General features: G+C 44.8%; 2 long non-coding RNA genes across 2 annotated transcripts in view, besides 1 other annotated feature; one reads left to right on the top strand and one right to left on the bottom strand.

Moving 5' to 3' along the window:
- Positions 1 to 2598: 2598 nt before the first annotated feature.
- LINC02368 (long intergenic non-protein coding RNA 2368) lies at positions 2599 to 6334 on the bottom strand. Its single transcript, NR_104648.1, has 3 exons — positions 5774 to 6334; positions 3644 to 4012; positions 2599 to 3324 (listed from the first exon to the last, which is right to left on the bottom strand). It is a non-coding gene; the product is annotated as a long intergenic non-protein coding RNA 2368 (long non-coding RNA).
- A 75-nt stretch (positions 6335 to 6409) lies between these two features.
- The window catches only part of LINC02369 (long intergenic non-protein coding RNA 2369), a 31160-nt gene continuing 23563 nt past the window's right edge, over positions 6410 to 14006 (top strand). The window contains exons 1-3 of the long non-coding RNA NR_104647.1: positions 6410 to 6426; positions 6543 to 6637; positions 11707 to 11846. This is a non-coding gene — a long non-coding RNA (long intergenic non-protein coding RNA 2369). The remainder of the gene's footprint in view (positions 6427 to 6542; positions 6638 to 11706; positions 11847 to 14006) is intronic.
- Positions 11582 to 12781: an enhancer, noted in NCBI's record as "CDK7 strongly-dependent group 2 enhancer chr12:128596315-128597514 (GRCh37/hg19 assembly coordinates)". NCBI's record gives its function as "activates an origin of replication core promoter dependent on BRD2, BRD4, P300/CBP, MED14 and CDK7 cofactors, with strong dependence on CDK7, by STARR-seq in HCT116 cells {active_cell/tissue: HCT116}" and the evidence as "EXISTENCE:reporter gene assay evidence [ECO:0000049][PMID:35650434]".

The following is a 14006-nucleotide window of genomic DNA, read 5'->3' as shown; positions in this document are numbered from 1 at the left end:
GAATGCACTAGGTGTGTCTTATTTGTTCTAATATACACATATATTTTTCATTCCATGACAATTCACATATTTCTTGGGTTCTCCATACCCCAAGCACTGGGTAAGTCGACAGACCCAGATCCTGCCCTCAGGAAACCTGCAGTTGAGGGACTGGATAGCGTGGAATGCTCTGTGTAGGTTTGGATGTATCTCTTGGTGTGCCTCTGACCCCTGTCTAGTGTGAGCTTTCCCAGGGCAGGGAGTGTGTCCATCTTTCCATACTTGGTGTTCAGCCCAACATTAGGTAGACTGATGGTACCCAGCAGAAGAAATGAAAGAATGAACCCACCTCTGTTCTTTACGAGATGTGTGACTTGGATAATTTCATGCAAACTCTTTGCACTGTTCTTCCTCATTTGAAAATCAAGGATAATAGTGGTGATCTCTTAGGGTTCTGGTGAGGATTGGTGAGCATAAATGATAGGACTCGGACCTTGTAGGTATTAATAACTCTTGTGTTGTGTGGCCCATAACTCCTGCTATGAGAAATGTTCCACAACCCTACATGCAATAAGGTTATCAGCAGCCTACATGCTTTGTGACACTTCTAAGATTTACTTTATCTCTGAGAGAGGACCCAGAGAGTTTGCAAGATAACGATGGATTAAATAAGGTAGGTGTTTATTTTCCTTTCTGTAAAAGTGGTCTAGGTTGGGGAAATCCACAGCAGATAAGGCAGCTCCATGCTGTTACAAGGACTTGTGCTCCTGGCTGCTTCTTAGCCACCATTATTCAATAATGAACATGAATTCCTACTCAAGGTCACTTCAGGGCCCACGGTGGCTATGGAAACTTTAGCCATCCCATCTGTTTTTTAGGCTGGCATAAAAACTGAATGGGAAAGACAAAAAGATTCCTTCTAACTGAATTAGCTCCTTTCTCCAGAGACTTACCAAGCATTCTTTATGACATTTTCATTGTATCTCACAGAGCTAAAGTCAGTCATGTGGCCAGCCATACAGATATACAAAGGAAGATAGAAAAAAATGTGTGTGTGTTTTTAAAAAAGGTATCAGTTGCCTTTTACCCAGTGAAAATGTGAGGTTCTATTGCTTTAAAACATAGAATAGATATTGGCAGGTGCATCAGTGAGAATATCTCTAATTGCAGAATCTAAAGTCTGGCTGAAGGTAGGTCCGGGACCAGGGTTTCAAATCCAGTGACTCCAGGGCCCGGCAGAGGGAGAGAAGCAGAGTGCGAGAGCAGACAGCAGTGCAGTGCCGTGTGGAGAGCTGAGCTGTGTTTCAGGCTGAAAGAAGCAGGTCTCACTTGCACGACTGCATTCCCAAATCAAATCAAATCAAAAACAATATGCGCAGTGGTGGCTGAATCTGGTCTGACTCGCGCATTTATAGTTAATGTAAATACTCATGTGTTATACTGTCTTTTTCAAATATTGTGTCCATAGTTTTTCATTGTGGTGGTCATTGAGGTTTTATTTTAAACTCATGGATATAAAATGTGAAGACCCCCAATTGTAGATTACCGTAACAGTTCTCAGCTGGATGACCTCTCTCGGGCTCGAAGGGTCGTTGGGTAATTTGAGTGAGGAGCATGGCTAGATTGGTAGCTGGGAAGAGCCATGTGTCAATGTCCAGGCTGATGGAGTCAACGCCACTCGGCCCCAGCCCATCGCTGCTGCAGAAAGACGAGTCCAGTGCAGACAGGTATTCGAATGTTTCAAGAGAGACAAGAAATCTTGATTCTAATCATACCAATGATACTTACGGCTGTTGGTTGAATTGTGTCCAAGGAAAGATAGGTTAAAAATTTAATTCCAAGTACCTGTGAATGTGATTTCTTGGATTACTGATCCTGGAAGGCCAAAGTGTTATAACTCATGCAGAACAAAGGATTAACCTATAAGATGAAATTCACCCATAGAGAAACTGCTTTTGATTAATTACAGTTTAAACGCTCTATTTTTTTTTCTTACCTAACTTGATGCTAAGGGTAAAAATCAAAGTACTGCATCAACTGGGCAGATCACATCCCAGAATCTCAGGATTTTATTTTTGGAAGAGACGTCCCCACTCCCAGTTCCTACCTCTCCCCATAACTCATTTAGATTCACGTCATCAAAAATAAGATTTTTCTATTCCACTGATCTCATCTCGGCAACTTGCTTAGCAAACAATGCTTTCCTTCTCTGAGGGCTTCTCGGAATTGTATTTGCCAACATCAGCTCTAGGTAGCGCCTAGAAATGGATGTATTTACTTGCAAATGTGCTTGTAACTGCTTTAAAATGATTACTATGGCCTCAGTCTCAAATCCTTCCTTTTACATTCCTTTGCCATATTCATATTTTCCGGGAAAGATCTCTTTAGAGGACTTGCACTTTTATTGGGCCGGAAAAAAAACTTAGCATGACCTACATTTCATCTGTCACCTTTTGTATATTTTTGTCATGAATGCAAAATATTAGAGTCATTCAAGATCATGCTGAGTAGTAAAATGGAAAGAGGTAAATGGCAGGATAGTTGCTTTTTTATGTTCTGACTAAATAGACTCAAAGGAATCCAGGGGCATTTCATAATACAAAATAGAAACTACAAGCAAAAGATACAAGAATATGTATTATGTTATTAAACAGCAAAGTAGGTGAGTAAGAAGGAGAATATTGATGGAGTTAACCCAGTCAGCACCTATACCACCGTAGCCGCTAACGAGACCAGACATCAAAGGAGATGAGTCTTGGAGTAACACGTCCTCAGCTGGAGACACTCAGCATGGCCTTCCTCTTTAGGGGAAGTAGCTGGAGTCTGGACTGGGAGAGAGAGAGTAGAAGCACCCCCCAGGCTGGGCTCCTTCATGTTCTTTGGGGGCTCAAAGGTAATGTGTGTCACAGAGCTTTGCTTTGACGCCTCTCAGCCTCAGAGCATAGAGGACGGTTCTGGCCACTGGCCAGCCTTCTCCCAAGGTCAAGGACATGAAACTGGCATGATGTGCACTGACAATTAAATGTTTGCAAAACCCTTGGTTTTTCTTTGGAGGAAACTGGAACCCATAGAGGTGAAAAAAAAAAAAACACCTTACCCAAGATCACAGAGCTCATGAGGGATCTTGGATTTTAATTTTAGGAGAGGTCAAAAAAACAATGAGTTTGCTGTAGGGGTTGATTTTTCCACCTGTGAGGAGCCTGTTGGGAGGACAAGGGCAGGGATGAGGAGGTCAGTTTGAACTTCATTTGCTTTTTACCAGCGGTGTGACCTTGGGCAAAGGATGAGCTTTCTCTCTGCCTGAAGTCCCTCACCAGTGACATGGGGTCCAGTGGAAGCTCCATTCTGTGGGTACGTGGAGAAACTTAAATGAGATGCTGTGCATGGGGTCAGGCTCGTGGCTGGCCCCACATAGAGGAGTTCCCACTCTTCATTGTACATGAACATAATGGCACCCAGCCCTATAGCCCTCCCAGCAGCAGGGAACACGTCCCCATACATGCTTTTGTGGTTGAGCTTTTTTACATTTTTACCCATGGGTTACGGTTTTAAATCAGGCCTTGAGTTAGCAAAGGACATAAATTGGCCCTTTTTTCTTTTCTATGAAGGAATCCAAGACCCTGACCTTCTCTAAGAAATTCTCCTCTATCTCAATGTTTCTTACCATCTACAAGTATTGTTGTAGTTGAGGCTGGAATGTTACTGCTTGACAGTCAGACTCAAGGATCTTGAAAATAAGGGGAAAGGTTTGCAGACGGCAAGGACCCTGAACTCCTTGGAATGAACATGACTGAGTCACTGAGGAGCTCCCGTGCTCCAGGCTCTGCCATCTCATGTAATTATCACCTCATAGAATCCAGAAGGGAGTTGCTACTATTTATGCCTTCGCAGAGGGTGGATGTGAGAAGGAGAAGCCGCTGGAGGTGGAGAAGATGTGTAGGACTGCAGGTAGGGCTGGGAAAAGGCACAGCCAGGACACAGCCCAGACCGTCTGCCTGAAGGCCCCAGAGAAGCTCCTAACTGCCGTGTCATCCTGCCTTTCAACAAGGGAGAAAAACACAGGTTCACCTGTGCACAGATACACGCATCACAAAGCAAAGCATACACATACATCCATCACACATGTACACATGACCCACACAACACACGCAGCCACACACAGACACACACCCCCACTTATAAATGTATGTGTACACACAGATGCACACATGCACCACACACATGCATGCACATGCGTTCATCACACATGTACACACGATTCACACAATGTACACACAACTCACACAATTACACACCCACGTACAGACACATGTCTCACCCATGAATATATGTGTACACACAGATTCACACATGTACAGACACATGCACTATACATACACTCACATACACATGCATTCATCACACATGTACACATGACTCACATGACATACACACCCACATGAAGACACACACCTCTCACCCATAAACATATGTGTACACACAGATGTACATATGCACAGATATGTGCACCACACACTCACATACACATGCATTCATCACACATGTACACACGACTCACACAATGTACACACGACTCACACAATGTACACACCCACATACAGAGACACACGTCTCACCCATAAATATATGCATACACACAGATTCACACATGCACAGATACATGCACTATACATACACTCACATACATATGTATTCATCACACATGTACACACGACTCACATGACATACACACCCACATGAAGACACACACCTCTCACCCATAAATATATGTGTACACACAGATGTACATATGCACAGATATGTGCACCACACACTCACATACGCATGCATTCATCACACATGTACACACGACTCACACAATGTACACACCCACATACAGAGACACACATCTTACCCATAAATATATGCATACACACAGATTCACACATGTACAGATGCATGCACCACACATGCACAAACATACACATGCATTCATCACACATGTACACACGACTCACACAATGTACACACGACTCACACAATGTACACACACACACACACCTCTTACCCATAAAGTACGAGTAGACACAGATGCATGCATGCACATACACATGCATTCATCACACATATACACACAACTCACACAACATACACACCCACAGACAGACACACACATCACACCCATAAATGTATGCACACACACAAATGTATGCATGCACACGTGCACACACATGTATAGATACAAGCACAACACACTCATAAAGATACACACATACATTGCACCCATATTCATAACTCACATGATATACATGCCCACATACAGACACATTGCACTCACCCATAAACCCTCACATACACAGATACACACATTCTGGTACATGCAGCACACACACTCGCAAACACAGAGTCATCACACACATGCACACGACTCACACAATGTACACACCTGTGTATAGATACTACGTACCACTCACACATAAACACAAACATACTTGCAGGTACACACACGGATACACACTACAAACACATCTCCACATACACATATGCCACACAGACTCACACATACATATGCAGTACACATACATACTTCTGTTCATGCACACACACTTTTACATGCTCATGTGCTCACTCCACCACACATAAACCACACATTTACACATACTAACACATGCACACACTCACACACATAAACAGAAGCTCGCACACACAGGAATCACACGCGTACATGCACACACGGGTATTGCCAGCCTGCACGCTCCCAAGGAGGTTCATACTCCTGTCTAGATATGTGAAGAGACTGCACCCTATTTTGCACCCTTGCTCGTGGTCAGGTTTTGGGGATGGCTCCCCTATTTAGACTCTTCCTCTCACGAAGCTGAAAGGAAACGTTCACTCAGGGCTTTCTCTCATCACTGTAGGCTCTGAACTCCCTCGCCCTTCAGGTCAAATAACGTGTACCCTGCTGGTTCCGGGAAGCGCTGCTATCACAGAAAAACACACCCGCTGCTCCAGCCCTGTGGGAATACGGCACCGCATCTGCCTGTGGTCTCTGTCCAAATTTCCAAAGACAATGAAAAGTAATGGTGACGATGATGTCGATGATGACGAAAACAATAATAAGTGAGAAGAATCGCTCACTAGGTCCCAGGCACATTGCCAAGTGGCTTACATATTGTCTTCTCCTATGATAAGTATTTTTAGTCCTTCTTTCATAGATGAGTAAATTAAGGTACAGAGATGACAAATAATTGGCCCAAATCCAATAGCCAAGAAGTCACAAAATCAAGATTCACAACAGTTCCCTTTGGGTCTGATCCTAGAGTTGTACCCTTCCCCATTCCATGGCATTAGGGAGGCGGAAGGGAACTCCCTTTCTGCTTCCTGGAATCCAGGCTGGCTTGGTGACTTGCCGACCACAGAACGCTGTGGAAGGGACATTCTGGGGCTTCCCATCTCCAACATAAGAAGGTAAGAAGGCTGCAGCTTCCACCGGGCCTCTTGGGCTGTGTACTCTTGACACTCTTGCTCTGAGAACTAAGCAGGCATATTTCATATCAAAATAGTAAAGAACTTCCTTTCCAAAGGCAGGACTTGCTTCTGTGAGGTACTGAGCCACCCGTCCCTGGAGGAAAGCAAGAACAGAGCAGATCAGAGCCCAGGCAGACATCTTGGATGATGGGTGAGTGCGATCGGCTATGTGGCCCGAGTCTCATATTCGCAAGAGACTTCACATGCAACTTTTGAAGTTCAGAACCAGGACGCAGACAGTGAAATGATTGAAGGAAGACATTTATCAAAATTTCCTCCCACAGGGCTCATGGCCAGACTTCATCACGTGCAGGGGTCATGTAATCTTACCACATTAAGTTACTACACTCACGTCACTGTGCACTCTGTGGGAGTGTGTCCCCATGTCAACTTGTAAATATATAAGTGTATTCTACATTACTTCAAAGCCCGTTTTGTAATTCCTTCATTAAAAAAAAGAAGTTTTCGGCCGGGCGCAGTGGCTCACGCCTGTAATCCCAGCACTTTGGGAGGCCGAGGTGGGCGGATCACGAGGTCAGGGGATCGAGACCATCGTGGCTAATGTGGTGAAACCCCGTCTCTATTAAAAATACAAAAAAAAGTAGCCAGGCATGGTGGCGGGCTCCTGTAGTCCCAGTTACTCGAGAAGCTGAGGCAGGAGAATGGCGTGAACCCGGGAGGCAGAGCTTGCAGTGAGCCGAGTTCTCACTACTGCACTCCAGCCTGGGTGACAGAGCAAGACTCCATCTCAAAAATAAATAAATAAATTAATTAATTAATTTTAAAAAAGACATTTTCTTAGAGCCTTAAAAAGTTATTGGGGGCTGAGTGCAGTGCCTCACGCCTGCAATCCCAGCACTTTGGGAGGCTGAGGCAGGTGGATCATCTGAGGTCAGGAGTTTGAGACCAGACTGGCCAACATGGTAAAACCCTGTCTCTACTAAAAAAAAATACAAAACATTAGCCAGGTGTGGTGGTGGGCACCTGTAATCCCAGCTACTCGGGAGGCTGAGGCAGGAGATAATTTGAAGCCAGGATGCGAAGTTTGCAGAGCTGAAATCATGTCATTGCACTCCAGCCTGGGCAACAAGAATAAAACTCTGTCTCAAATAATAATAATAATAAATAAAAATAAGTAAATAAAAGTTATTGGGCCCTCCCTTTGTGCATCCTCTGAGAGGTCATGGGCTGGATGACCAGGCGGTGTGGTTGTGCTGGAGGGGACTTCAGCGTGGAATGAGGGGTGACCTGCTGGTGATCTTTCTGCTCTCAGCCGCTGTGGTCTTCGGAGATGAGACGAGGCAGATGCAGTGAGATTGTGCAGATAATGTCTCCATCAGGGGATGAGTTGCTATAGCACCCAGAGTGATTTCAGGAACAAAAAGGGTCATGCCCTAGCCTGTCTTCAATGGCTCATAGCAACCCCTATTGCCTCATCACCCTATTCTCCAATATTCCTCTAATATCTTCCATTGTGGAGACATCCAACATAAAGTAGAGTAGAATTGATTCAAAAACACTGCTTGAACTGCCTAAATTAGAATCATTCTTAGCTTCTCAACATACAAATATAAGATAAAGGAAAAGAATGTTGTTCCCCTCCCTGTGTCCATGTGTTCTCATTGTTCAACTCCCACTTCTGAGTGAGAACATGTGGTGTTTGGTTTTCTGCTCCCGCGGTAGTTTGCTGAGAATGATGGCTTCCAGCTTCTTCCATGTCCCTGCAAAGGACATGAACTCATTCTTTTTTACGGGTGCATAGTATTCCGTGGTGTATATATGTCACATTTTCTTTATTCAGTCTACCATTGATGGGCATTTGGGTTGGTTCACACCAGGCCTTGTCAGGAGGGAGGGGTGGGGAGGAAGGGGCGAGAGAGCATTAGGACAAATACCTAACGTACGCGGGGCTTAAAACTTAGATGACGGGTTGCTAGGTGCAGCAAACCACCATGACACATGTATACCTATGTAACAAACCTGCACGTTCTGCACATGTATCCCAGAAATTAAAGTTTTTGAAAAAGAAAAAGAAACTGCATTAAAAAATTAAATGAAGTTATGAATATATGTTTTTTGTTTAATCAGCAACCCCTCTACTATTCTGGTAGAAGCTGCTCAATTTGCTTCGAGGATCCAGACTCCCTCCCTCCCAGTCTGTGTGTTGGGGCCTAAAGGATGTTCACTCACCCACCTTTCCTGGCTCCAGAGCTGTTTACACTTCCCAGGATGGTTTTTTTTTTTCCTGTTTGTTTTGTCTTCTGCTTATAGGTGAGATCTTCCTGGGGTTCTTGCTGTACCTGCTGACAAGGGGCAGCTCTCTCTAAATGCCACGGAGCTGGAAGGCTGCAGCCTGGAACTTGCTGCAGCCCACCCAGGCAAGCAAGAGATGACATAGTTTCAGCACCTGGATCTATGGCACCCAGAAGCCAGATCCAACCCCCCAGCCCTTATCTTTGACCTTGAGCCAGTCTGAACTGGTAACTGGAAGTCACTTATCTACCAGATTCAACTATCAGGATGTTACTAATAAAAAATGACTCCAAAAATGAAAATGTGTTTCACAATATTTTCATGCAAAGACTTCGGGATCTATTTATACTCGACACCAACCATCTTGGTTATCTGATTTTTTAGTTCTCAGCAGCTGCTAAGCTGTAAATTAGGAGAGGATGCTAATGGTAGCCACACGGAGAGTAAGGAGAGTGATGGTCTAAGGGAGGAAAAATATCTGAATAGACATTTTTCAAAAAAGACTCAAATGGCCAAAAGTTGGAACTTGGATAAGTCAGTAAGGTTTCCAAGCATGGAGCTTGCATGAGTCAGCAAGGTTTCCGAAGCATGGAGCTTGACTTGGGAATGGGTTGGGAGCATTTGTAGGAAGATAATTTCTTTTCCTTTTTTTAAATATGAAGAAATGGGCTGGGTGTGGTGGCTCACGCCTGTAATCCCAGCACTTTGGGAGGCCGAGGCAGGTGGATCACTTGAGCTTAGGAGTTTGAGACCAACCTGGGCGACATGGTGAAACCCCATCGCTACCCAAAATTACAAAAATCAGCCGGATGTAGTGGCTCACACCTGTAGTCCCAGGTACTCAGGGGGCTGAGGCAGAAGGATCCCTTGAGCCCGGGAGGTGGAGGTTGCAATGAGCTGAGATCGTGCCACTGCACTCCAGCCTGGGCGACAGAGTGAAACCCTGTCTCAAGAAAACAAAGAAAAAGAAAAAATATTCAACATCTCTATGCCTCAAAGAAATACAATTCAAAACTCCAATGAGACATCATGTCACCTCAGTTAAAATGGCTTGTATTTGAAGGACAGGCAATAGCAGATGCTGGTGAGGATGGGAGGAAAGGGGAACCCTGGTCCACAGGTGCAACCTATGTTAGTGCAGCCACTGTGAAGAGCAATACGGAGGTTCCTCAAAAAACACTAAAAGCAGAACTACAGTATGACCCAGTAATTTGACTACCAAGTGGGGTATCCAAAAGAAAGAAGATCAATAAATCAAAAAGATCCCTGCACTCTCATCTTGATTGCAGCACTATTCACAGTAGCCAAAATGTGGAATCAACCTGAGTGCCCATCAATGAATGAATGGATACAGAAACTGTGATATAGACGCAGGATGGAATATTAGCTGTAAAAAAAGACTGATCGAGTCATGGGCAGCAACATGGATAGAACTGGAGGTCATTATGTTCAGTGAAATAAACCAGGCACAGAAAGACAAATATTGCAAGCTCTCATTCATATGTGGGGGATAAAAACAGGCATCTCATGAAGACAGGAAGTTGGTGGTTACAAGAGTCCAGGAAAGATAAGGACGAAGGTAGATAAAGAGGAGTTGATTAATGGGTACGAATATATGGTTTGCTAGAAGAAAGAAGACCTAGTGTTAGATAAATCAGCAGGGTGACTATAATTTACCATCATCTATTTTATTTTTCAAAATAGTTAGAAGAGGCCGGGCGTGATGGGTCACGCCTGTAATCCCAGCAATTTGGGAGGCCGAGGCAGGCAGACCACCTGAGGTCAGGAGTTTGAGACCAGCCTGGCCAACATGGTGAGACCCCGTCTCTATTAAAAATAGAAAAATTAGCCTGGCATGGTGGTGCACCCCTGTAATCCCAGCTACTCGGGAGGCTGAGGAAGGAGAATGGTTTGAACCCAGGAGGCGGAGGTGGCAGTCAGCCGAGATGTTGCCACTGCACTCTGGCCTGGGCAACAGACTGAGACTCCCTCTCAAAAAAAAAAAAAAAAAAAAAGGAAAAGAAATTCTCTTCCTACAAACCCTCCCAACCCATTCCCAAGTCAAGCTCCATGCTTCGGAAACCTTGCTGACTCATGCAAGCTCCATGCTTGGAAACCTTACTGACTCATGAGAGCTCCATGCTTGGAAACCTTACTGACTCCTGCAAGCTCCATGCTTGGAAACCTTACTGACTCCTGCAAGCTCCGTGCTTGGAAACCTTACTGACTCATGCAAGCTCCATGCTTCGGAAACCTTACTGACTCATGAGAGCTCCATGCTTGGAAACCTTACTGACTCCTGCAAGCTCCGTGCTTGGAAACCTTGCTGACTCATGCAAGCTCCATGCTTGGAAACCTTGCTGACTCATGCAAGCTCCATGCTTGGAAACCTTGCAGACTCATGCAATCTCCATGCTTGGAAATCTTACTGACTCCTGCAAGCTCCATGCTTGGAAACCTTACTGACTCATGCAAGCTCCATGCTTGGAAACCTTGCTGACTCATATAAGCTCCGTGCTTGGAAACCTTACTGACTCCTGCAAGCTCCGTGCTTGGAAACCTTGCTGACTCATGCAAGCTCCATGCTTCAGAAACTTTACTGAGTTACGCAGGCTCCATGATTCGGAAACCTTACTGACTTATGCAAGTTGTTGCTTTTCACTTGAGTATTTTTTGTAATGGGCACAAGAGGCACAAATATTTGGGAGTCATCCCCCTAAATTTCTGAAATTCCAGGAAATTTTGTGCCTTATATGAAGAAAGGAATTCTGCCTTTACAAAAAGTCGTCTTAATTCTACCAATTACGTAAACCTTTTACTCCCAACATTAAGGAAAAAAAAAAAGCAATGACTTATACACAGAGTTGCACCCACAGTTTCCTTCTCCATTTATATTTCTCAGCTGCGTGTGCTTTGGACACAGTGTAATAGCTTGGGGATTAATTATGCCCTCCACATCCTTTGCAGGGTACATCTTGCCATCCAGAGGCAATGCTGGAGCGGGCAGTTGTCTGCGGGGAGGCCCTGGCTCACTCTGGGCCAAATAACAGGACTGATTGCAGCCTGCGATGAAACATCCTGTTTCTCCCAACCAGAAACAGGTAGAGGTGAGTGATGTCTCTGAGGGGCGAGTACAAGTCACACCATTTGAATTTTCCTCTCCTCTGTACCAACTGACAGCTGGCTTCTTTGTCCTCAGTGTTTGCTAACAGGTTAATTAGCAGGACACGTACCCCACCAACCTTACAGGCAGCTGAAGGCATCTCCCTTAGCAAACCGAGGAGCAGGGCAGTGTGAGCCTGAGAGCTCTTGAAGTTTGCGCAGAGCTGGCACAGAGCAGAGGGAACTGACAGGCAAAGTCATTTGAAACATATTTTCTTTCTGCAAGGAGAGAAGAGCCCCAGTGAGAGAGTGAAGCAGATGAAAAGATAACATGAAAACCAACCAAGCAACGAACAGACAAACAAAATAACCCATTTCAAGTTCTCGGAGCCTGGTCTCATTTCCAGCCGGAAATTACTGCTGCAGACTGCAGGGTGCTCCCTGCACTCCCTGTGTATATGATCTAGTGGTTGCTAATGTCTTTAGAGAGAGAAAGACGTACACTGTTATGAGGTGAGTCCCCAGGAGTCAGGAATTTACCTGTGCCCTGGGGCAGGCACTGCCCTGGGGAGAGGAAGGAACTTCCTCATTAATTCATTCCACAGGGATGGATGCTGCCCTCAGCCTCTGCAGGGAGCTGTTCTGCGTGCTGGAGGTGGAGACGCCAGTGCCTCTGAGGGCCTCCTTTTTCTGACAGAGCTTGCAGAGAAGGCAGACATGAAATGGATGGTCACAGATGGGGTGGAGGTTACAGAAGGGGATGCATAGACAGCCAGGGAGTGCTTAGGGCTTGAATGAGGGGAATTGCAGAGGTGAGAAAAAGGGAACAGATTCCAAAGATATGAAGAAAGCGGATTTGTGAATGACTCCTGAATGTGACCATCCATCCTTGTGAGCAAGAAGACATGCGTTCTCAAGCCCATACATTGTGAACACCCTCACTAAAGCAGATTCTTCTTGGAAAATCACAACTGATACTGAGTCATCAATGATAGGAACAGGCAGCCTTACCAGGTTCAAAAGAAATTGATCATCAAGGACGCATCACTAGATAGAATCCAGCTACAGGGTCCGGAAGCCTGGGATCCAGGCCCAACACGGCCACCCTTTGTGTGACCTCCAATCAATCCTGTCTAGATCAGTGGCTCTCAGTCCTCTGCGGTTAGAACGGAGAGCTTGAGAGAGTGCCGATGTCAGATCCCCACCGCTGGAATTCTGCTTTGTCACCCCGGCAGTTCTCAAGAGCAGCTCTGGCGCTAAACCTGAAGCCACAGACTGCTGCAGTAATAGTTGTTAGCATCCCCTGGGCATAAGGAAAGAGATGCACCTCATGGAGATTGGGGTCAGACTGAGGGAAGAACTTTCAGAATTTAAATACAGAAGCTTCTATAATGCCTCATTCTAGGATATTGCTAAAAAGACTTCTTTAGTTGTGAGTAACATTAACCAGCTTGAGTCAGCTTATGGAAAAAGAAGGTTTTTATTAAAGAGCTGTGTTTGGGGGAGACCCAGGGCAAGTACACAGCCAGCTCCAGAAAGGACCCGGAGCCAGAGGAAGGGGCTGACTTGCCTCTGTGTCTCCCCTCTGCTCACTCTCTCTGTGCACTGACCTACCTGGTCTCTCTGGGCACAAGGGAGAGGGTGGCTGTCCCAAGAATGCCTGGTTGATAATTACGCATTCTTCAGTTACCATCCAAGCAGACACTATCCCTGGTTCCCAGCTAAACCTGGGACAATGAAGGTGACTCACCCACCTATGGCCATCGATCAGAGGAGATAGCCAGACAATTTCTTTAAAAGGATAAGTAAGTCGAATATATAGCACGCCAGATAGCAACACATCCAATTGAAAAATAATACATGGGAGGACTATAGGGCCACTGGTGGTGAATGTGGCATTGGACTTTATGCACAGGGGTCAGTGAAAATAGTGAAAAAAATGATATAAATATGTGTGTATATGGTAGAAACATGATATATATGTGTGCTATATTAGTTTATATATTTAGTCTACCTATACTACATAGTCTATACATACACACTATGTGTATATACTATATATGTATATATAATACTATATATACTCTATATAATACTCTGTATACTATGTATATATAACACTATATATACTATGTGTATATGTAATACTAGATATACTATGTATA

This window comes from Homo sapiens, chromosome 12 (assembly GCF_000001405.40).
Source record: "Homo sapiens chromosome 12, GRCh38.p14 Primary Assembly".
NCBI lineage: Eukaryota > Metazoa > Chordata > Mammalia > Primates > Hominidae > Homo > Homo sapiens.
Note: the sequence above shows the minus strand (reverse complement) of the source record. Positions and strands in the feature narration are given on the sequence as shown.